Source organism: Homo sapiens, chromosome 1 (genome assembly GCF_000001405.40).
Source record: "Homo sapiens chromosome 1, GRCh38.p14 Primary Assembly".
Classification (NCBI taxonomy): domain Eukaryota; kingdom Metazoa; phylum Chordata; class Mammalia; order Primates; family Hominidae; genus Homo; species Homo sapiens.
Genome location: NC_000001.11, coordinates 194,156,501 through 194,182,460, shown reverse-complemented (window position 1 = coordinate 194,182,460; position 25,960 = coordinate 194,156,501). Strand labels below are relative to the sequence as shown.

At 34.8% G+C, this 25,960-nt stretch overlaps 2 long non-coding RNA genes across 5 annotated transcripts in view, besides 1 other annotated feature; one reads left to right on the top strand and one right to left on the bottom strand.

Annotated features, from left to right (window-relative positions):
* Window positions 1–24,607, top strand: part of LOC107985242 (uncharacterized) — a 199,987-nt gene extending 175,380 nt beyond the window's left edge. For 3 of the 4 annotated variants that reach the window (XR_001738356.2, XR_001738353.2, XR_001738352.2), the window contains 2 exons: window positions 14,746–14,966; window positions 23,145–23,306. This is a non-coding gene — a long non-coding RNA (uncharacterized LOC107985242). Of the gene's footprint in view, window positions 1–14,745; window positions 14,967–23,144 lie in introns of all 4 variants that reach the window. The other variant, XR_001738351.2, reaches the window with a different exon arrangement.
* Window positions 1–25,960, bottom strand: part of LOC124904475 (uncharacterized) — a 765,263-nt gene that overhangs the window by 37,087 nt on the left and 702,216 nt on the right. The gene's annotated exons all lie outside the window — the stretch shown is intronic.
* Window positions 7,478–8,031: an enhancer, noted in NCBI's record as "OCT4-NANOG hESC enhancer chr1:194143560-194144113 (GRCh37/hg19 assembly coordinates)". NCBI's record gives its function as "activates a minimal SCP1, AML or CMV promoter by ChIP-STARR-seq in primed H9 embryonic stem cells {active_cell/tissue: H9 hESC(primed)}" and the evidence as "EXISTENCE:reporter gene assay evidence [ECO:0000049][PMID:30033119]".

The window sequence follows — 25,960 nt, the reverse complement described above, 5'->3', positions numbered from 1 at the left end:
TGGCATCTTATAAATCCATAGTTAATTATTTTTTATTGTTGAGTAGTATTCCATTGTATTGCTATATTCATTCATATTTTGTTGGACATTTGGGTTGTTTCTAGGTATTGTTTTATCCTACTACAAATAAAGATGATATGAACATACATGTTCATGTACAGATCTTTTTATAACATATGTTTTTGTTTATCTTGGATAAATACCTAGAGGTGAAATATCTGGATCATATGGTAAGTCTATATTTACCTATAGTAAACAAACTCATATTTCCATTTCTCCTCCTGTCCACCTTTATGTTATTGTTACAGGATTCCTTTGGTGCTGCTTCACCAGCCGGAAATCTCTGTGGCTGGGTTCGCTCTGCCTGCTCAGCCCAGCAGGCTGAACTGAGCTTGCACTTGCTCAGATCTTGCACCTTCAGTGGCTTGGTACTCAGCCCACAGCTGGACCGGGCATGCTACAAGCAGCTTCTGCATTGGGCACTGGTGTCTAGACAAGAGGAGCCTGGTGGTGCCTAAAAACTTGGAGATGCCAGCAATTGCAAAGCCCCGAGGAATGTTGCAGCTTCTGCTTGGGGAGTCCTGAGGTCTGAGCCCCCAAGAGATGTCACCGTTCCTCACTTCTATAGCTCAGTGAGCAGGAACATGCTACAGCAATCTTTCTCCTGTATTTCAGTGAATGATAGCATGTTACAGCTCTCTATCTCCCATAGGCTGGTGGACAGGAGCATGTTAACAGCTCTCTTTCATTCCCACTGCCCATAGCTCGGCAGGTTTCAGGTTTGTGTCCTACAACCAAGAGGAATAAGGTGTGTGGACACCAGAGAGTGAGTAAGGCAGAGAAGAATTTTATTGAGCAACAGAAGGAACACTCTCAGTGGTGAGAGGGGACACAAAAGTGGGTAGCAGTCTGTGTGGTTGAGTCCAGGGTTTTTATGAGCTTACAATGGGGAAATGAATGCTGATTGGTCCATGGGCAGTCTTTGGAAAAAGCACCATTCATTTGGATAAAAGGCATCATCCAGAAGAAACAAATCGAGAAAGAGAGGGTAAGGCAGGAATGGAAGTTCTCACTCCAGTCATGGACTCTATCCAGAACTGGCAGTTAGGATTTTAGGCTTCAGGCTGTCTTTGGCTCGAAGGTCAGGTTTCACCAGGGACCTGTCCCTGTCTGCCTAGGAATTTGTCTGTCTCCTGTCACTATTGCTATTACTGCAATACCTTTACTTTTTAATTTGTTATAAATCCCAGAATATATTTTCTTCAGCCTGCAGTTAATTTTTAAAAAGATTTAAATTATATGATAAACTCATATGCATATGTGTGTTTGTGTGTATATATATATATATCTTATTATGTCATTCTGGTTCACTCTACTTCATTATATATATATCAAAACTTCCATCTTTCATTATTTTTCTTCAGCCTGAAAGATGTTAGCATTTCTTAATGTGGATCTCCTGGTGATAAATTATTTCAGTTCTTTTATTTCTGAAAAAAAAAATTTCTGTTGTTTCAATTGTAAATGATACTTGTGGTAGGCATAGAATTTTGTGGTGATGGTTTTTGTTTTGTCTTTGTGCTTTCAGTTTTTTAAGGGTGCTTCTCCAGTGCTTCTCCTCTACATCCTTGCTTACCTTGTTTCTGACAAGTGATATCTCCCTCTGCCTTTTTTCCCTTTCTGTATAACATGTCCTTTGCCTTTGGATTGTGTTCTCCTTGTGTATGTGTTGAATTGCGTCTTAAAAATTCATATGTTGATATTTTAGGTCCCAGTACCTAAAAAGATGACTGTATTTGGAGGGAGTATCTTTAAAGAACTAATTAAGGTTAAATGAGGTCATCACGATGGGTTCTAATCCAGTATGACTGATATCCTTATAAGAAGAAATTTGGGAGCAGAAATACACAGACAGGGCCATGTGAAGACAGAGAGAAGACAGCCATCTATAGGCCAAGGAAAAGGGCCTCAGAATGAAATCACTTCTGCTGACACCTTGAACTCAGACTTTTATTTTTCAGAACTATGAAAAAATTAGTTTCTATTGTTTAAGTCACCCAGACTGTGGTACTTCATTAATGCAACCCTGGAAAACTAATAGAGCCAGTTTTTCACATTTTAAAATTTTCTCCTTGATTTTGAGGGAGTTATTTTTATGAGACTAGGTATAGTTTTCTTCATGTTTTTTACTTAGCCTTCATTGGATTTCCTATAACTGTGGGTGTGGGTTTATTCACCCTTATGTTCCAAGACTCTCCTCCCTCATCCAAAAATACTGAGAAGTCTTTTGGAACTAGAAAAAGGGATCCAGTTACAACAAATGGCCCAGTCCAGGAAGCCTCTTCACCCTGTGTGCTCGAGAAACTCCTCACCCTCCTAGAAATACCTAACAAGTTAGTGGAATAGGCAAAAGATAAATGAGACTCAACAGTAAATAACAGCACGACCCAGACAACCTGTTTTTTTTTTTTTTTTTTTCCCCAAGGGCACGAGAGCCTCTTCACATGCCCAGGGACATGGTGAAGTCAGAGGGCACTGATAATGGGACCTCTCCACACCCCTTCCTACCTAGAGTCACCAAGCAGCCTGATCAGGGGAAATGCATTCTACCTTCCCAGGCAGTATCAGCAGTACCAGCAAGAGCATCGGCAGCACCAGATAAACCAAGCAGACCAAAGTAACATTGCAAATAGTAAAAATAAACCTGCCATTGGAAATACATCAGAGCAAAGCAGGCCAATACCTACATACTAACCTAAAAGGTGTGACTTCTCCCCAAAATAAAATGTTTAAATAGGATCCAGAGTCTCTAAACATAATCAAAAACATGTCTAGGACACAATAAGCAATCACTTATGATATCTAGTAATCAAAAACATTACAGTTTAAATGAGAAAAGGAAATCAACTAACACAAGAAGACAAATCAGATATTGGAATTATCTGACCACAACTTTAAAGCAGTCATCATAAAAATGCTTCAAAATTCAATTGCATGTTTTCTTGAAATAAATGAAAAAATTAGAAAACCTTAACAGAAAAATAGAAGTGATAAAAAATAAACTAATGAACAAGTCTTTCTTCTCCTTGGTTAAGTTTATTCCTAAGTATATTGTTCTTTTTGATGCTATTGTAAATGGAATTTTTAATATCTCATTTTCTGGTACTTCATTGTTAGCATATAAAAATACAACTGACTTTGTATGTTTATTTTGCATCCTGAAAATTTACTAAATTTGTTTATTCTAAGTTTTTTGTGGAGTTTTAAGGATTTTTACTATATGTTTATGTCATCTGCAAACAGATAATTTTGTTGCTTTCTTTCCACTTTGGATGCCTTTTATTTTTCTTGCCAAATTGCTCTCACTATGACTTCCAGTACCTGAGTGAATAGAAGTAGAGAAAGTGGGCATTCTGGTTTTGTTTTCGATGTTAGAAGAAGCTTTTCGTTTTTCACTGTTGAGTCTCATATTGGCCATGGGCTTATCATAGGTGGCAATTACATTCTATGGTTAAGGAAAGCTAAAATAATTTGTCCCTGGGAGTCCGATTTTAATGATTGGCTAAAGAATGCTCTTCATTCAGGAATGATATGATACAAAAGTTAACTTAGAACATCAAGGAAGGAAAAAAGATGATAGAAAGTTTGGAAATATGAATACATATAACACACTATATTTTCCTCTTTAGTTTTATAATTGTATTTGATGATTGAAACAAAGATTTTTAACACTATCTGAGATAGTAGTAGTGTCTCAGGAAAAATAAAGGTACCTAAATAGAAATTAAGTCTCCACATTCCACTTGACATGGTAAATGTTACTGATAGAATGTTATAAGTCACCTGTGAATGATATACAAAGCAACTGTGATGGGAAGTATACAAAGAGATACAGTCAAAAATACTGCTAATAAACCAAGACTGACCCCCAGCAAATGTTCACTAGCCCACAGAAAGGCAAGAAAAAAGAGAAAAATAATTCCTTCCTCACATAGGAAAGGTATCTCCACAAGCCCCTCACCACTGGATCTACAGAAAGCTTCTATGGTGGCAAGTCTCTGAACCCTTGTTGGATTTATTTCCCACCTTCCTTCAAACAAATGACTTACCAATACATCTAGAATTGTTGCTATTTCTTATTCACCTGGTCCAACCAGCATTACACCAGCATCAATTTATGCTATAATATGGAGAGGCTACAAAAAAAGAAATAAAACTACTATATCATTCATTCAGACATTTCTTTTTGGAAAATTTTCTCACATCAATGATATTTTTTTCTTTTATCCAAAACACAGATCAAAGATGCTCTAGGAAAGATTAACAGGAGTTCCCTAAGTCAAGTAAACATCTATTATTACCCTCTCTCCTCCAAAATACTATACATTCATATGACAAGTGTGTTTGTTGTTGTGCATTTATAAATCTTCAGTATTGAAGGTTGAGCTAATTATGTTTCAGAATGCAAGAGAAACCATAAAATGATGTGTAGCTTTTGTTATTAAGATATTTCTGGATGTATTTATTTATTCTGTGTCACTTCCTTTCCCATGCTCCTCATGAGCCCAATGGCAATAGTTCTAATATGTTGAATATTTTACTTTATGTGTGTTATTTTGAAATGTGTTAAATTTCAAATTTGTGTATATGGTTTTTTATATATATTATATATATATTTAGATGTATGTGTAAAACATATACCTTATTTTTTCTCAAATATATTTCTACGCTTCAATCATATCATATGATTGAAGTACATTGAATACATTTCTTTCAATCACCTCATAAGTCATTTTTCATATATTCTATGTATACCTCATATACTCTTCTGAAAGTGGACTGATTAACTGCAACTTCCAATGTCACAAAGAATGCCATATAGAATACTGAGTCCTTTTGTGGACCAGTGTTAGAATTACTTTGAAATACATACTGAGTAACGAAATAAATCATGCATATTCTTAATTTAAATAAATACTGCCAGGTTACTTTCCAGGAGAGCTGCTCCATCAGTGCATGGAGATTCGTACTATTTAATTCATCACATTTTTAATCTTTACTAGTCTAATAAGCGTAAGTAAAATCTATTATTATTTTACTCTGCTTTGCTCTGATTATAAAAGGATTTCACCATCTCTTGATATGATTTTTAGCATTCTGGGGTTTCTCTTCTAAAACTTGTCTATTATATTCTTTGCCTGTCTATTGTGGTTCCAGTATTTTTCTAGTTACTTTTCAGGAGTCCCTTGTATATTCTCATTCATTCTCAGTTTTACACAATAAGAGTATTTTATCAAAGTGTTACTTTCTGATATTTCTGTCCATAATGTGCTTTGTTTTATTTTTAAAAAATTCTTAGTTTTGATATATTCTTTTTTTTTTTTTTGGTTGCTAGTTTAGGGATTGTAGTTTCAGAGTATATAGAAATACTTTCCTACCCTATGACACAATGATATCACCCTTATTATTCATTCTATTTTCAGATTTGTAAATCACAATTAGGTCTTATTTCATCTGGAGTTCATATTTATATAAGGCATGCTTTCCAAATTTAGTTTTATTTTTCTCCATTTAGTTTTTCCTAAGTCATTAAACCAAAATGAGTTTATATTATTATTTGTGTTGCTGGTCTATGCAAATGCTATTATATTTGATACATTCATCTTGGGATTGGCAGCCTTGCCAGGAGAAAGATCCCTAGAGCCTGTTTCTCACAGTTATTACAACTAAAATATCAGAACATAACATGAAGAGCATCTACCAGAGGACTATGAAAAGCCGACAACAGGCAGATCATGGAAGAAAGTGAAATATAAAATAATGAACCATAAAGTTTTGAGCATCACAACTCTTTTTCTCACTTTTATCTTACTATTTTGACATAAAGGGGGTGCCAATTCTCAGAACTGCATCAGGGGTGAACTCAGCAAAAACTCTAAAAGAAAGTCTCCTCTTTCTAGCTAGAGGACTGAAAAGAGACCACATGAGCCAAAGAATGTGGGAGGAATTGCATCCTTTTCATTTTCTTTCTTTTTAAGTTCCCTTTTGTTTCTGCATTCCGAGGCTACTCCATTAGAAGAGCTTCATGGTGGTGCTCAGGTTTCTGATCCACGTTTGTTAGCACTTCTCTCTGTATTTCCCCTTCATGGATGGCCTATTTTAATGTTTTGGTCATATTCTGTAATCCTTCAGTGTCCAAACTATGGATCACTGATTGTGCCCTGACCAACAAATTCTGAGGGCTGTTTCTGGCTAAGCCTATTCTATTTAATGGTATGTATTAGTCCTGTGGTCTATCCCAACATATGTCAACCCATATCCTACATCTTTTACCAACAACGGACAATAATATTGGCTGAAAGACAGAGATGATCCAAATAATTTTACTCTTGCCCCTAACTCTTTGTACAGTTCTGTGTGTTTTAGTAAGGAAAACAGGAGCAGAATAAGTATAGACTTAAAAATAAAATTAGAAATTTTGAGGCAAACTCCAAAATAGAAATTTGCTTTATAGAATATTATATCATGAACTTTAATGGTCAGAGTGCTGATGCAAAACAGAGAAAATATGAAAAAGCTTTCGTACAAAATTGATCCAATTTTGTGCCAGACTATTTAGAACTAGTTTCCTTGAGTAGAAGCTATCTTGCACTTTAGTATGAAGGAGGTTCTGACTGAATAGCAGTTGCTATTAGTTGCTGTACTGATTTTTCATATCTCTGTTTCATAACTAGACTTAATAACTACATTATTATAAGACATTCTGGAATGTATCCACCTTCTTCTGAGTTATCTTGTAAAACTATCTGAATGAGTAGTTTTTCACTTTTAACACTGCCATACTTAAGATTCAAGGGCTAAAGGAGATTTCCAATGGGGCGATGAGGACCTATGACAGTAGATGGAAGGAAGCAGTTGTAAGAGGGGAAGTAAGAGGAAGAGTTGTGGATGTGTAGCATGTTTATACCTCTCACAAGCTCTGTAATGACAACAGACACTTCTGGATTCCATTCATACCTCATGGCCACAATCAGGAATATCTCCTTCCTAGACTGAGTGGTTTCCAAGGTTAATCATTGCCATTCTCTCTATCAATCACTTAGCAAAGAACTAATCTTTATCTATTACACATAAGTAAAATCTATTTCAAAAATGACCATCTCAAACTTAAACAGAAGGAATGAATAATGAGAGGAATAAAAGTAAAATAGGGAAGTAATAGAAAATGAAAACAGAAGGGCCTGTGTTAAATCTGGTGTCCATGATTAATTTATATGGAAAATATTCATGAAGCATACAGTATTAGTAAAAATAAATAAATAAAGTAGCTAAGAGAAAGAGTTGTAAAATCTTGGGATTCTTGACTCAGATATGCTATTTTTGTCAAGTTACACAAATAAAAGGGTGTGCCATTAGACATATACCCTGGAATTAAGGCAGGTTTAGGAGGATAGCCATGGTAAACAGTGGCTGATTGTGCAATTAAAAATGTTCAGAAGTTCACAAATTTCCAGTCTCAGATCAGTTCAAAAATAATAAGAATTATCAATAAATAGGAGAAAATTGGTAATAATACAAGTAGCCCATTCTTAGAGATCCAAAAATAGAGATAATTTGAACTTGATTAATCTGAGTTTGGGAGAGGACTACTAATTATGATAACAGAAGATGCAGTGGCATTCAAAGCAGACACAGACTTCCATACACAGAGGAGGAAATTGCTCCTTAGAGGACAATAGAGAAGCCCCTCTGCTTAACAATGGGGCATCCTGTGAAATTACAATCCAACCAGAAAGATGATCACATACCAGCATTTTCCACTGTAAATTTCCAAAAATATTAGTTGTGTAGGATATCAGCAGATGATGTATAAAATGTCCTAATTATTCCTTATGTGAAGGAAAAATACCCCAAATCTACAGCTATCCTGTAATTTTGATTTTTGCCTCCCGAGCTTAGTCTAACCACCATTCTGTGCTCAGGTTCCACCTCTCTGTGTTGCAGTTTGTCCCTAGGCAGAAAACAGACTAATCATGGCCATCACTTTGTGAGTTTCTCTATTCTGAGGCATTGCAGTTCTATTCTGTTTGAGTAAAAATTTAATATATTTTAATATATTTTGTCCAGTTTTCAGTGCCAAAAACTCCATTATGGCTGAAGATAAATTTTAATTCAATTACTCTAAGTTATTTTCTCACTTAATCCTAGACTATACTAGTCTTGTATACTCTGTCCAGAGAAACATTCTTAACATGTCTACAAAATGGTCATAATGAAACATTCTTAAAGATATGAATGGCGTTCATTATATACTGTTTATGTAGGCAACAAAACTCTTGTGTTTTAGTGAAAATCTATCAAAATAACAAATAAGATTTAGTATATCAAGGGTTATGTTTTAGGTGCTTAGTAATATTATTCATCCAAATATTTAACTTTTTATTTTTATTCATAGTTTTGTTCTAATTTATTAGAGGTCACATTCTCAGATGCATTAATTTTACATGTAAGCATTTTTGCCATGTTTCTATTGGTTTTAAAATATCAATAAATAAACCTCTGCTATGTCTGAAACATTCACATGTAGATAAAATATCTTGTATTTAAACTGCTCTAGGTTATATTGTTAAATTTATGGGCTTTTCGGAGTTTTTTCTCTAGTTTTGCAATTCTGCTATTTTACTTGAAATGGATATTCACCCTTATTTGAAACTGTTTGCTGACTCTAATGACATTCCTGAGAATTATGAAAAATTCCTTCAGAAACTCACACTTGTTTCATAGAAAAATTGTATTATATTATATTGGGGCCTACTTATTCTTGTAGGAGCTGTGGAAATATTACATTTACACAGAAAATACACTCAGTTTACCTTGTGCAACATTGTATTAGAGTCATATCTAATTAGATTTGCCATTTGTCCACGTTGATATTGCCTTAGGCACTGCAGATTATGAAGTTTAGGAATGACAAAAATACAAGAATTACACAGCAGCTGTTAGAATCATGAAGTTCAGCAGTTTCTCTAAGAGGAAATATAAATAATATATATTTTAAGCTTTTTGATAGAGGAAATATTTAGTGACACTGTACATTATTCCTTTTAGTTTGTGATCCATAAGTCTTCTAAAATCAATTTTAAATCGTCTACCTTATTGTATTTTTGTGAGAGTTTTGGGGCAGTAATTTCTTCCTCAATTGGCATTCAGTTCTCACATATCAAGAAGAAATAAAATATGCTTTCATGTTACATAATATGTAGGTAGAGTTTTACTTTTGAACTTTGAGTTATTTTCAAAATGAACATTGTTCATCATACACTTATGTCGATCCATATCGGAAGCAAAATAATACATAAGAATCTTGATATTTATGAATGAGACTATGCAGGTGCATGGCATTAGAATATTTTTAAAGGTTTTCTGTTGATAGAGAAAGATGTGTGAAATCTGAAAATAATTTAAACAATTGTAGGTAATGCTTATTTAAAGAGTATCTTATAATAAAATTGCACTAAGAAATATATGTGTTCTCTTGATAAAAATCCCAATTTATTGACTAAAGACAGTTCTAATTAAAAACATCAAAGTTAATCATCCTTTTCCAAAACATAAACCTTCTGTCTTCAAAGATGAGTAATAGTTACAGCCGTTGCTTTGATTGCTCAGTGTTCAAGGACTGAATTCCTAAGTAATTTTTATCCATGCATTTCAAATAATAATCCACAGCCCTACTATGACAGAAATGCAAGCCTATGAGATAAATGAGGATGGTCCAATTTGTAAAGGTGTCAGCACAGTAAAAGTGTTACCATCTGTGCTTCAGTGGCTTCAGGTATATGGAGTTGTAATAAATAGGGTGAATCATTTCATTATTCTCCTTTTCTCCATCCAGGTATTTAGATTTGTTTCTAAAATCTTATTTCATCATAAGAATCACTAGGAGCGTTTGGAAAAAATATATAAATTGGTAGGATAACCCACACTTAATAAAAGAGACTGTACAGGGGAAAAGCTATGGGATTAGCATATTAAACAAATTCTGTGTGTTTTTTGCTCTCCTGTAAATTTGAAGAGAATAATTTTGACTAGTGGTCCTAAAAATGCAGTCCTTAGGCCTAGCCAGAGGAATAAAGGAAGACAAATAAATAAAAGCTACCACATTATGAAAGAGAAAGTCAAATTATCTTTCTTCCCTGATGACATAATCTTATATCTAGAAAACCCCAAAGACTTCTCCAAAAGACTCTTAGACTTTATAAATGACTTCAGTAAAGTTTCAGGATACGAAAACAATGTACAAAAATCAGTAGCATTTCTATATACCAATAATGTTCAAGCTGAAAACTAAATCAATAACCCAATCACATTTACAATAGACACAACAAAATAACAGTAGCATTACTATATGCCAATAAAGTTCAGACTGAAAACTAAATCAATAATCACATTTACAATAGACACACACGAAAATAAAATACCCAGGAAAACAGTTAACCAAGGAGGCAAAAGATCCCTAGGACAAGAACTACAAATCACTACAATAAATCATAGATGACACAAACAAATGGAAAAATGCCAGGCATGAGGCTCACGCCTGCAATCCCAACACGTTGGAAGGTTGAGGCAGGAGGATCGCTTGATCCCAAGAGTCTGAGACAAGCCTGAGCAACGTACTGACATCCTCTACATAGTGAGATATCTCTATTAAAAATTTTAAAAATTATCCAGGTGTGGTGATACATACCTGTGATTCTAGCTACTCAGGATGCTGAGGTGATTGGAGCATTTGAGCCTGAGAGGTTGAGGCTGCAGTGAGACATGATCATGCCACTGCACTCCAGCCTGGGCAACAGTGTATGACCTTGTTAAAAAAAAAAAAAAAAGAAAGAAAGAAAAGAAAAGGAAAGGAAAGAAAACAGAAAAACATCCCATGTTAATGGATTGGAAGTATAAACATCATTAAAGTGACCACACTGCCAAAAGCAATATGCAGAGATCCAATGCAACTCCTATCAAATTACCAATGTCGTTTTCCACAGAATTAGAAAAATAATTCTAAAATTAATATGGAACCAAAAATGAGCCGGAATAGACAAAGCAAACCTAAGCAAAGAGAGAGCAAAGCTAGAGGTCTCATATTACCTAACTTCAAATTATACCACAAGGCTATGGTAATCAAAATAACATGGGACTTGTACAAAAATAGATGCACTGATCAGAAATGAAGCCACATGCCTACAACCAACAGATCTTTGATAAAGTTGACAAAAATGCACAATGGGAAAAGGACTCCCCCTTCAATAAATGGTGCTGGACAAACTGGCTAATGATATGTCGAAGAAAGAAACTGGATCCCTATAAATCAGCATATACAAAAATTAACTCAAAATTGATTAAAGACTTAAATGTAAGCCCCAAAACTATAAACATTCTAGAAGAGAACCTAGTACAAACTCTTCCGGACATTGGCCTAGGCAAGTAACTTGTGACTAAGGCTTCAAAAGCAAATGCAACTGAAACAAAAAAAATAAACAAATGAGACTTACTTTAACTAAAAACTTCTGCACAGCAAAAGAAATAACCAACAGAGTAAACGACAACCTACAGAATGGGAGAAGATATTTGCAAACTATGCATATGACAAAGGACCAATATCAGAATCTACAGGAACTTAACAACAACAACACACACACAAGAAAATTACTACATTCAAAACTGGGCAAAGAACATGAACAGACAGTTCTCTAAAAAAGACATGCAAGTGGCCCACGAACATATGAAAAAAATCAACACTACTAATTACCAGAGAAATGCAATGCAAATTAAAAACACAGTGAGATACAATCTCACTCTAGTCAGAATGGCTATTATTAAAAAGTCAAAAACAACAGATGTGAAGAAAAGGTAATGTTCATATACTCTTTTTGAGATCATAAATTAGTACAACATCTATGGAAAACAGTATGGAGATTTCACAAAGAACTAGAAATAGAACTATTATTTGACCCAGGAATCCCACTTCTGGGCGTCTACTCAAAGGAAAAGAAATTGTTATACCAAAAAGACATCTGCACTTGCATATTTGTTGCAGCACGATTCACAGCAGTAAAGTCAACCTATGTGTCTAGAAGTGAATGATTAGATTAAAAATGTGGTATATATACACCCTGGAATACTACACAGTTATATAAAAATAATGTCTTTTGCAGCAAAATTGGTGGAGTTGCAGGTTATTATCCTAAGTGAAATAACTCAGAAACAGAAAATAAAAAACTTAATGTTCTCACTTATAAGTGAAAGCTAAACAATGAGTATATATGGACATACAGAAGGAAATAATAGACACTGGGGCTGCCAAAAGGGGGGAAGGTGGTAGGAGGGTCAGGGTTAAAAAAATTACCTATTGGGTAGAATATTTTCTATTTGAGTGATAGATACACTAGAAACCCAAACCCCGCCACTAGGCAATATATCCGTATAACAAACCTGCACATGTATCTCCTGTATCTATAAAAATAAAAAATAAGAAAAAAATGAAAAAATAAAAGTGCTGTCCTCTGGCCAGCAGTATTACTATCACCAGGAAAACACTTAATACCGCCAGATTCTCGGGTGATGTCCTGAATCTACTCCATCAGACACTTTGGGGTAGGGTCCAGTGTTAATTAGCCCTCCAAGTGATTCTGATGGACACCTACATTTGAAAACCACTGATATGACCGGCTAAACAAGTATGAACCACAGTGATGTACTCATTGGCTTTTAGGTAATGGCATCAGCTATTTCTCTAGGAATTCACCTCGAATTAGTTGATAGGCATTCATTGCTCTCCAAGTGGTTTTCTAGTTCTTAAATTGCATAAGGTTCTGTGATTCACATTACATAGTCAACCTCATGCAACTAAATTGATTTTTGTTTTATTTTATTCTTCTCTTAATAGAGATAATGATACTCTTCACTTTATGGAGTCAAGATATTTCACAAAATGAATTAAGCTCAAGGATCTATGATATCATAGATCCATAGGAAATATCTAGGATATTTCCAATATCCTAGAAGATTAAATAATATTGTTATAATTACTTATGAAAATGCTTTCAACATGCATTCATTCATTTATGGTTTTGATATTTTCAGTAATTAGCACTAGTTTTAAATTAATTTAGTGAAACTGTGTGTGTGTGTGTACACATAAGTCTTTTTAGGTTTCAACAAAGCCATTAAATTGTTAATATTTTTTATAATGAAGATTTTGTATATATTCATAGTGGTTAAACAATGGTCTTTCAATGTCTCTAACATATTTTGACTGCATATTCTGTAACTCACATTAGGGTTATATGACAAATAGGATCTCATATGTTTTAACATTTTATCTTTTATCTTTACATTTAGGGAGAGTTATACTAGGGCTTTGTTTAAGATATGGTTTAAAGTTCTCTGGTGGGATTTATTTTGTCCATTTGGTCTGATATAACAAAATACCATAATGTTGGCAGCTTTATAAAGCTTATAAACAACAAAACTTTATTTCTTACAGTTCTGGAAGCAGGCTGGGAAGTCCAAGATTAAGGTGCTATCAGACTCAGTGTCTGATGAGGCTAAACTTCCTCTTAGACAGTCATCTTCTTACTCTAGCCTCACATGACCAAAGGGATGAGAGAGGTCTCTCGGGCCACTTTTATAAGGGTACTAACCCCATTCATGAAGGCTCTGCCCTGATAACCTAATCACCTCCCAAAGGTCCCACCTCCTAATATTCTCACCCTGGGGCTTAATATATGAAGCACCTAAACACCCAGACCATATAAAGGTTAATGGCATGGTCAGTATCAGAATTACATGTGAAAGTGAGAGTGTGTGCTTTTAGATTAATATTTTTCCTGATTTCCCTTCCCTAAAGTACCAGACATTCATTTAGCATGAGGAATCTATCAGCACAGGCAGAATAACTTGTTCCCTAATTGCAGGAATAGGCAATGCCTAAGTAGAGATCTAAGGGTTGCTAAAACCATGGCTGCTTTTATGTCACTGCGGAAAGATGCTAATACTTTCATTATAGAGTACTAGCCACAGTCAAACTTTGTATCATTTCCAATGTCCAGAAGTAGCCACGTAATTAAATACTTCTTGGTGCTTTTTACTGATATGACAGTGGCTGCTAACAAACCAGACATTAGGAAAAGGGATTTATAGATTCTTCCATACACAGCTTCAAGTAACAGCAATCCTAACGTTTGTGCTCATTAATTAGTTTAGTTTAGGTCCAGTGTAGTAACTTAAAATAAACTAGATGATCATTAAGAAACCACAGAACTTGATTTTTTAAATAATATTACTTTGTTCCCAGGCTCTGTGTCATTTTTTTTCCTGTCACTCAATAGAAATATGCATTGTTTAACATGAGAAATATCCAAAGTATGTCATAGAAGAGATTTAGATATTTAAGTTTCTTCAACTAACAAGTATGGCATTTGCTGATTCGCTATTTGCCATATAAAAAAAGAAAAAGCTATAGTTTTCTTCTCTCAGAACAAAAGCAAAGTTGCTTTCTAGATAAGGTACATAAAATGTTATATAATTACTTTCTTATATATGCTGCAGGCTTACCATGTCCCATAACTGTATAATAGAAAATTGACTTGGCAAAAGACATACATGTGATGGTTTCTGGATTAAGATTGAGGATATGAAGTGGTCCAAATAAGGTGAATTAATTACTCTCTTGTAAATCTTCTACAGCTTGGTAGACACTTGTGCACTGTATGAGTCCGTTTTCATGCTCCTGATAAAGACATACCCCAGACTGAGAAGAAAAAGAGGTTTAATTGGACTTACAGTTCCACATGGCTGGAGAGGCCTCAGAGACATGGTGGGAGGCAAAAAGCACTTCTTACATAGCGGCAACAGGAGAAAATGAGGAAGAAGCAAAAGCGGAAACGCTGATAAACCCATCAGATCAGGTGAGACTTATTCACTATCATAATGGCACAGGAAAGAAGTGACCACATGATTCAATTTCCTCCCGCTGGGTCCATCCCACAACAAGTGGGAATTCTGGGAGATACAATACAAGTTGAGATTTGGGTGGGGACACAGCCAATCCGTATCATGCACTGTGTACATAATTAGATGTTTGACCAAATTTTTTTAAAAATGGCTATACAGAGAAAGACTTGTAGTAATTAATCTGGTAATTATGAGCCCAGGTTTTAGGGTCAAATTTCAGTGTTTAAATCCTTGATCCACCATTTAACATTTGGGCAAATTGGGAAAGTTATATAACCTTTCTAACATCTACATTATTAAAGTACAATTAATTTAAATAATATTTTATAGTCATTATTATTTCATAATGGCCTTCCACATTTTCAGTAAAATTGTATAAATAAAATTAAACTCTATATTTACATAAAATAAATATTTTTAACATTATGTATTAGTTAAAAGTACTTAGATAATATCCATTCGGTATCCATCTATTTTTACATAATTCTTTTCATCCTTCTTTTCATCTCACACAGTTAAGTTTCTCAGTTACTTTTCTGGGTGAAGACTCTAAATGTTTTTAAGCAGTCTCTCACTCTTGATTAGTCTCTATTCTAAAAGATATAGTTCCAAGTCTTTCCCTGTCTGGCTTTTGGTCGAATAATTCGACTCTTATTATAAATGCAGTGTTTCATATTCTGACTGATGTTTTTATCATATAGAAATAGCTTATGGTTTGGTTCTATATAGTAAATGTTTGTTTATTTTCTTTTTGATAAAATAATTTTTAAAGACTAATTCTTATGTTTCATACCTGAAATTTGTAAAATATGTCTTAAAAATGGCTGTACAGTTTTTCCTCCCATTCCAAAGAGTTAGACTCTGTTAAGATGTATAGTGTCTGCCAACTCAAATCAGACAACACATTCTACATCTATTATCAAGTGATGTTGGACTCTTGAGTGACCTGACTGTCCTATTCTGATTAATAGCATTATTCGTTTCTTCAGCCTTTGAACATAAAGCATGAGAAGGTCATTCATTTATGTGAATAGCAGATGGAAGGAAGTAACATTTATGAAATACCTATTCAAACCAGGCAATATTCAGCACAGGAATATAAGATTGTATGAAATATCAGTCTTCCTTAAAAGACACAGTAAGCTATAGACTAATACATAAATAACTATAATCTAATAAGAAACAGCAGTACGTTGGTTAAGTGCAAGAGATTTCAAGCAGAAAAATCTAAGCACAAGTCCCAATTGTACAATTTATTAATTATGAGACTTGTGGAAGTTCTATAACTTCTGAAATTCTGACTTTTCTAATATATGAAAATAAATAAGAAATGTCCCATTTTTCATAATTTTGGCTATTAATATAACATGCCACAAATGGGAAAATGTCATGGATGCTCTGTAAACATATTCACGAAATACAAGTGTAGAAATAAAGTAAATAGAAATAAAGCTTGAGGAAAAATTGAAATAGCATGTTTCATATGTTTTCCTCAAACTTCAGCAAGGTCTAAAAAATGCCAATAAATAAAGAAAAGTTTGATAACTACTGTAGACATTAAAGGTATTAATATTCACTAAATTTATATAGTAAATGTACATAGAGGTCTATAATAATTGTAAATTCCAAAATATCTTAATTGTGTTATTCTCTAGAGGGAGGAGGAATATTATTATGCATTATTTTTCAAAGGTGAATTGTAAATCAATGGATGTTTTTTCTATTATTCCGATTTCTTTGTTCATTATATGAAATATTTTATATTTAATAACATTAAGTCATAATTTAAAAAACATTATTGTTATTGAAGGACTACTAATATCACAATGGCAACTGGTTGATGGCAACCAGTTAAAGGATTTGTATGAGTTGTTTGGTAATGGGTAGAAGTTGAGATGTTGTGAGTGAGAAAAATGTTATCTTTCATAAGGAGATTAGGAGACTCTAAAAACTACAAATAAAAAAGAGGGATAAGCTTCAAATTTCTTATCATGGTGTTATCAGGAGTACCAAAATCAAAAATGGGTAAAAAAATTAACTCGAGTTGAATTACAGACGGGATGAGGCACTAGAGTTTTTCACTTAATTATAATGTTGTAAACCTTTTATACAGTTTGGTTCTTTAACATGCATGTTAAAAATCTAGTCATTTTATAATATAATGTTGTGCCAAGAAAATAAATTAATATGCACTTTTTTTAGTAAAAGCCCCTGTAATAATTGTGCTAGAAAACAGAATCTTGTAACAGATTTGTTTCAGTTGTTTGCTGTGTTGATTCCATTCTTGAGAAAGTTTCTGTTATCACTAAATAAACATATTTAGGAAAGAAGGGAATATTTATGTACATTTATTTTTGAATTCAAAAGTCAACATTGTACATTCCATTAAATATAATGTAAATCTGTCAGTTGGATTTAACTTCGAACAAAGATTATGCATCCATAAAATGTAGGATGCTGGAAAAAATCATATTTTATTTGAAAATTTGTGATATCAGCATAAAAATATAGAGGTTGCTATAACTGCAAACAAAATATGCTTTCATTGTGGAAGAGTAAGTTAAGTGCATCTTGGTTTAGAAAAGAAAACAAGCATGTGAAATTAAACTGATGTGCTTTTGAATAAGAGATGCTTCCTTTCATATTAGCAATAGATGCTTATATTCTGGAAACCAGATTATCTTATTTTGATTTTGTTTCATTTAATTTATTTGCTGTTGTCCTTTGACATCAGTTCACTGAACTACAAAATAACTATCATTTATGAAGCCCCCACAGTCCAGATAAAATGTAGCCATTTTGCTTTTCATTAGGAATTTCCATGAAACTGTTCTTCAATACCACGAGTTAACGTGCTTTCTCAATGTGCTACTATCCAATTGGGATCAGAATTTGTTATTTGTAATATATTTTAATATTCTTTTTTTAACTGCAGTGTCTATTTTCTAAATACACTATTTTTATGAGTTTCCACTAAAATTGTAAGGATGACCCTACCTAAAATACAGGTTTAGAATGTATGAAAGCCATTGTATAAAGAAAAGGCAGCATTTAATGATTTTGGAAGCTTGCTAATTTATTCACACTCTCTGGCTCCTCCCTTTCTCAAAGCCCCCCCCAGATTGACCATTCAAAGAAGAAACTGATATTATGAACCAGCACTTCATTTCTACAAAATGGCATTTTTAAAAATTCTTAATTATTCATTTGGCAAAGAAACACTATTATCCTTGCATTTTTTAAAACTGCTTCTTCATATTCAAGGTCACATAAGCATAGATAATTACACATTATCTCAGTTCCTTGGGAACATTTTAATGACTATTTAGTAATTCTTCAGATTTTATAGTCATATTAGGAAAGAAACTAGATTGCTATTTAGTTAAAAATAAAAACATGGTATGGATCAAATATAACATAAACAAAACTCTACATAAAATTTCTTAACAAAAACTACTACAAAAGTAAATAATGTTCTCATCTTTGATAAATTCAAGGTTGTCTCTTCACACCTGACTTTTGCCCAATTTTTCTAACTTTGTATCTTCTATCCGTGAGCAGTCCTAGCCTTGACTCTTTTTCTTTCCTTGCTTTACATTGTTCACACAATAAAGAGTAAACAGATAGGGATTTCTGTTCTCTGTAACCCTACTCTCTAAAATCCTACACGTGCTAGCAAAGCATAAACACTTTCTCAAAACTACAGTTAGACTGCATTCTTTAATATATATAATTTGATCAACTGTTCCTTTGGAACATTACATAAGTGTGTAAACTGATGCCAATAAAATCTTTGATCCCTAATCCCAGCTGTATGTTGGTCCCATCTACCACTTCTTTAATTTAGCTTTTATCATCTCATGATTTCAATGCATTTTATTAACCCCCTGATTAGGTTAATAAGGTTTCTTACTCATTGCCTGGAACTCTTGCTCCCAATTAATGGTGTTGCATCTTTGAATTTGTTTCATTTAGCAAACTAAAAGTACTAGAGTACTTTCTCCTTCAATATCCTGTCCACTCACTTTAAAGATGTATTTCTTTGTATTTTTCCAGCCATCCTTTTGCCCTTTCTGCAAGAATCCCAGGATGAGTTTTATTTACACTGTCATCCTTCATTCTATCTTTCCTTTTTTCTTGTAGATTCCTACTGTATTAATTATACCCTTCCTCTTGTGGATTTTCAAACCTATTAATTATTTACTGGCTCCTTTCCCAATGGCTATAATCTCAAGTCTTTCTCATACTAAAAAGGAATAAGCAGCAAAGTTTAATACAAAACCATACAAAATATTTTGATCTTGTTTTCCATTATCTCCTACCACATCCTCATTCAAATAGTCAATGTACAGATTTGTCCCTGCTTCCTCTTTTTAAAATATATCTTGCCTCCATCACACGATCGTACTTATCACTCTGTTAACTCACGGACAAAGATAATGGTTCTTCTAAAAATCCAAACTTTTTCCTTCATTTGACTGTGTTGTAAAGATTTTCTACCTTAAAACCTTTTGTTCCTTTGATTTCCTTGAACATGACAGAGAACCATCCTCTACCCGTCTTCAAATTCTCTGACTATCCTCTATTTACTTCACTACCTTCACCATCCCTTAAATATCTGCTGATGTTGTGGATTAATGTTTCTTTCTCTTTACTCTTCAAATGTGAGGTAATCTCTCTTACTGATTTTTAAGCACTTTAGTGCCTTTAAAAAACCGTGAAGGGACATTTCCCGTTATGAATCTGCTAAGTAAGATATGAATCTAGATTCAACTATTTCATATCATAAAGAAAGCATCAATGCTTTAGGGCCAAGGTACTCCTTTAAGAATGAAAAAGCTCATTATGGATTCTGAACTGGCCTTAAGATTATTTTCTCTTGATATAAATAATCTGTGTAATCCCATTGGGTTTGGATGGAACCTGTAGACATAAGACATCATGTCCGTGGTTAAATATATGGCAAAATGAAGATTAACCTGAGTGGACCTGATCTAGTCAAATGAACTCCTTGTAAGCAGAATTTTTTCTCTAGCTGCTACAGGAGAAGTCAGAGACAGGCAGAGGAGAAGTCAGAGACATGTAGCAGAGAGCTACAGTCCTAGCTACTTGGGAGGCTGAGGCAGGAAGATTGCTTAGGCTGCAGGCTGTAGTGAACTATGATCATGCCACTATTGTGCACTCCATCCTGGATGACAGAGCAAGTCTGTGTCTCTTTTAAAAAAAAAGAGAAGAAGAAAAGAAAACAAAAAGGAGGCAGAGAACACAAAGCAGGGCAAAAGTTGTAATCAATAACAGAGAAGCAGGAACTCATGCTAGTCTGGAGATGGGGATGTTTGGCCATTTTTGTAGTATGGACGGTGTTTTATCTGTCTGTGCTCAGTCACGATTATGGAGGGGGCTTGTTTTTAGCTCACTCCATCATTGTCACAGAATGACCTTGTCTGATATTGGTGTTCTGTGAAATGGTTTAGTTTGTCAGGAGAATACCATGGCCTAGCTGTTAGTGCAAGGTCAGCTCTCAGCTGACAGCTGAGGGGCTGCTTTTCTTTCTCAAAGGAAATAATTGGATAAAAATAAAACCATTTTGGATTTGTACATCACTTATTTCAGATGGGTCAATAAACTGGTAATGTGCTGATTGTACACATTTTTCATTTCTGCCCAGGCCTCTCACCCAAACTTCTGACTCATGCACCCAGCTGTGTCCTTCAGATCTTGAGTTAGACGTCCCAATGCACTTCAAAATCAGCATGTCCAAAAGTATTCTCAGGATCCATGCCTCCAACCTGTTTCTTTTCCTGAATTATCTATCTCTGCTGTAGGTACCAATTTATGTTCAGCAAGAATCTCCTCTCACATCCTTCATGCACACATAAAAAAATCCCTCAACCTGTACAAAAATAATACACCAAGTTCAATCAATTTCAACTGTTCAAGTCTTTTCAACTTAGCCCACCTTTTAAAAACTATTCTTAAAATAAGTGCAGGAAAATGGTATTTCAATGTGCAAATACTTGCATTTGTAAAATGACAACAGTTTCTTAGCTTTTCAATGTTGAGAGTTTAACATTTGTTTCTCATTTAGGCTGTGGTAGCTATGAGCAGTGCTGACTTCATGGGTATGCCACCCTGTGCAGCCACACACAGCCATGTGCTTAGGAGGGCCCACACTCAGTTTAATGCTCTGTCGTTGTCATATTGAAATATTTAAAAATTTTTAACAAAGGGTTTCACATTGTCATTCTGCACTAGGCTCCACATATTATATAGCTGGTTCTTGCTAAGAGAATGATTCTCACAGGCCTCCAAGTAGGGAATGTATAGCTGAAGAAGGGCTCTAGACACCATGCTCTAAAACCCATTGCCACATTATCTCTGAGGCCATGCTTCCTGGGGGCTGCTCCCAGCAGGTATCAAAGCAGGGCAGAAATATTGAGTGAGTCTTGTTCTTGGGATAGAAGGGACACTTACAACTGCTGACTTTGGGCCAAACTCCCTGCTGTCCTTGACAAAGCTTCATTAGACTCCACTGCCATCTAAGTCACTGCCACCCATCCTTCCCTCCCCTTTACTTCCCTCTGGATTAATCTTACATCATGGTCTTTCTCATCCTCCTCTGGAGCCCTCCCTATTTTCTCTTACACAAGCATTTTGCTTGTGGTAGGAGTGAAAAATCTTTGCAGATATGGCCCTTTCTTGGTGTCTGCTTTGCTAAGAGTCTGGACTAACACGGTGAATATTAATATAATCTTCATAGGTTTGCTCTTGGCATTATTATGAGATAATATATTAACCTATTAACACAGTGCCTAACATACTGAACATACATAAATGTAGCTATTAATAATAATTGCAGTAATATGAAGAGTCTGTAACACTTTCATGGCTAAGATCTATATTTCTAGGGAATGCCAACAGACTCTAGTCCTTCTGCCTTTTGTCTTACTTTCCTCAAGCTATCCTTCATGATAACTTCCAGAGTGATCTTTCTGAATAGCTGATTGACCCATGTCACTCGTTTTAAAATCCTTCAGCAATTTTCATAGTCTCTATGTTGCATGAAATTGTGTCAGAAGTTTTGAATTTTACCTGACATTTTGCTTGAGGCATAAAAAAACAGGCTCTATCAGTTTATAGTCTACAGTTCCTGATCCTTAGTGTGTCATAAAAGACACCTCTCCCTGACCACATTTCAGCCTGTTCTCACTTCCCACCATTCCCAGATCCCACTTGAGCAACCTCATATTGGCTGCTGTTCTCACTACATGTTTTTCCACACTCCATAACTTTCACAAGGTGTGCCCTCTTGTGGAATAAGTTCTACTAGTCCTCTCAAGCCATACCTCTATTAGTAAGCTTTTCTTGGTGGTCACAGATCAATTAAATGACCCTCCTCTCAGATTAAACCATATGAATAACATTTCCAGGGTTGTATTTAGTAATGTGTATTATGTTTTTATTTATCTATATGTCCAATTCTTTGAAAAAGATGGAAGACCCTTGAGGTTACATATTTCTTATATTCATCCATGAGCCTCTGCATCTTCCTTGCCTGCCACAGAGTCCAGCACAGATAGTTGGAGATAAATACCTCCTATACAAATAAAAGAAAGATTTAATGAATAAATCAAAATTCAGTGCTTTCTGGTATAATGAGTAGAAGTTTCAGAATATCATCTTTTGCTTAAATGGCAATCCTATTATTATTATTATTATTATTAAGACAGAGTCTTGCTCTGTCACCCAGGCTGGAGTGCAGTGGCATGGTCTCAGCTCACTGCAAGCTCTGCCTCCCGGGTTCATGCCATTCTCCTGCCTCAGCCTCCCGGGTAGCTGGGACTACAGGTGCCCGCCACCCATGCCTGGCTAATTTTTTTTTTTTTTTGTATTTTTAGTAGAGACGGGGTTTCACCATGTTAGCCATGATGGTCTCGATCTCCTGACCTTGTGATCCCCCCGCCTTGGCCTCCCAAAATGCTGGGATTAGAGGCGTGAGCCACCTTGCCAGGCCAAATCACAATCTTTTTTACATATAGCCTCATGTATTCTATAAACAGAGAAAATGTTATCTCATCCTTTCTGGTTTTTATGCCTTTCATTTATTTTTCTTGCCTAATTGCTCTTCCTAGGGCTTCTGCAGTACTATGCTGAACAGAAGAGGTGAAGGTAAGCATCCTCATCTTATTCCTCATCTTATAGGAAAAGCTTTCACATTTTCTCCATTGAGGATGATGTTTATTGTGGGCTTGTCATACATGAACTTTATTATGTTGATGTACTTGCTTTCTAAACCTAGCTGTTGTGTGTTTTTATCATGAAAAGGTATTGAATTTTGTCAAATACTTTTTTTGTATTTATTTACATTATCTTGTTATTTTTATCCTTCATTCTATTAATGTGGTATATTGCATTTGCTAATTTGTATATGACGTTGAACCACCCTAAAGGTTCCTCAAATAAAAACTTAGAACAAATAAACAAATTCAGTAAGGTTTCAGGATACCAAATCAATGTACACAAATCCACTGCATTTCTATTCACTAAAAGTAAAGCATCTGAAAAGGAAATTAAGAAAACAATCCCATGTACAATGGCGTCAGAAAGAATAAAATGCTTGGTAATAAACGTGACCAAGAAAGTGAAATACTTGCTTCTTGATAACTATAAAACATTGATGAAAAAAATTAAAGACACAAATAAATAAAAAACTTCCTCTGTGTTCATGGATTGAATGACAATATTGATCGGGTATCCACACTAAACAAAGTAATCTACAGATTTAAATTTATTGCCATCAAATTCCCAATGGCATTTTTTAAAATATAAAAGCAATTTGAAATTCATATGGAACTACAAAAGATCCAAAACACCCACAGAAATCTTGAGACAGAGGAACAAAGCTGAAGGTATCACACTTCCTGATTTCAAAATATATTATAGAGCTACAGTAATAAAACAGTATGGTACAAGCATAAAGACAAACATATAAACAAACAGAACAGAATGGAGAGCCCAGAAATAAACCCATATATATGGACAAGTGACCTGTGACACAGATGCCAAGAATACACAGTAGGGAATGGATACTCTCTTCAACAAATGGCATGAAGAATATCAGGTATCATGGAGTTTTCAGCCTTTTTGCGTGGGTTTTCCCTCATGTTCATGGATTTATCTACCTTTGGTCTTTGATGCTGGTGACCTTCAGGTGGGGTTTTTGTGTGAATGTCCTTTTTGATGATGTTGATGTTATTCCTTTCTGTTTGTTGGTTTTCAGGTTAAAGACTTAAACCTAAGACCTAAAAATCATAAAAGCCCTAGAAGAAAACCTAGGCAATACCATTCAGGACATAGGCACGGGCAAAGACTTTATGACTAAAACACCAAAAGCAATTGCAACAAAAGCCAAAATTGACAAATGGGATCTAATTAAACTAAAGAGCTTCTGCACAGCAAAAGAAATTATCATCAGAGTGAACAGGCAACCTACAGAATGGGAGAAAATTTTTGCAATCTATTCATCTGACAAAGGGCTAATATCCAGAATCTAAAAGGAACTTAAACAAATTTACAAGGAAAAAAAAATCAAAAAGTGGGTGAAGACTATGGAAAGACACTTTTCAAAAGAAGACATTTATGCAGCCAAAAAACATGAAAAAAAAAAAAGCTCATCATCACTGGTTATTAGAGCAATGCAAATCAAAACCAAAATGAGATACCATCTCATGCCAGTTCGAATGGCAATAATTAAAAGTCAGGAAACAACAGATGCTGGAGAGGCTGTGGAGAAATAGGAACGCTTTTACACTGTTGGTGGGAGTGTAAATTAGTTCAACCATTGTGGAAGACAGTGCGGCGATTCCTCAGGGATCTTGAACCAGAAATACCATTAGACCCAGCAAAATCCCATTACTGAGCACATACCCAAAGGATTATAAATCATCCTACTATAAATACAAATGGACAAGTATGTTTATTGCAGCACTATTCACAATCGCAAAGACTTGGAAACAACCCAAATGCCCATCAATGATAGACTGGATAAAGAAAATGTGGCACATATACACCATGGAATACTATGCAGCCATAAAAATGATGAGTTCATGTCCTTTGCAGGGACTGGGATGAAGTTGGAAACCGTCATTCTCAGCAAACTAACACAGAAACAGAAAATCAAACACCACATGTTCTCACTCATAAGTGGGATTTGAACAATAAGAACACATGGACACAAGGAGGGGAACATCATGCACCGGGGCCTGTCAGCAGGTTGGGGGCTGAAAAGGGATAGCATTAGTAGAAATACCTAATGTACATGATGGGTTGATATGTGCAGCAAACCACCATGGCCCATGTATACCTATGTAACAAACCTGCAGGTTCTGCACATGTATCCCAGAACTTAAAGTATAATAAAAAAATGAGGTATCTACATGCAAACAAATGAAATTGGACCCTTATTTTACACCATACACAAAACCAATTCAAAATAGATTAAAGCCTGGCCAACATGGTGAAACCCCATTTCTACTAAAAATACAAAAATTAGCCAGGCATGGTGGTGGGCACCTGTAATACCAGCTACTCAGGAGGCTGAGGTAGGAGAATCACTTAAACCTGGGAGGTGGAGATTGCAGTGAGCAGAGATCACACCACTGGAGTGCAGCCTGAGTGACAGAAGGAGACTGTCTCAAACAAACAAACAAACAAATGCAATGAAAATAACACAAGGAACTTGAATAGATATTTCTGCAAAGTGCAAAGAAGACATATAAATGGCCAGCAGGTACATAAAAAGATACTCAACATCACTAATGATTCAGGAAGTGCAAATCAAACTACAAAATAAGTCACCTCACACCTGTCAGGAGAGCCATTAATTTATTTTAAAAAATGTTAGTGAGAATGTGGAGAAATTGGAACCCTGTACACTGTTAGTGACAAT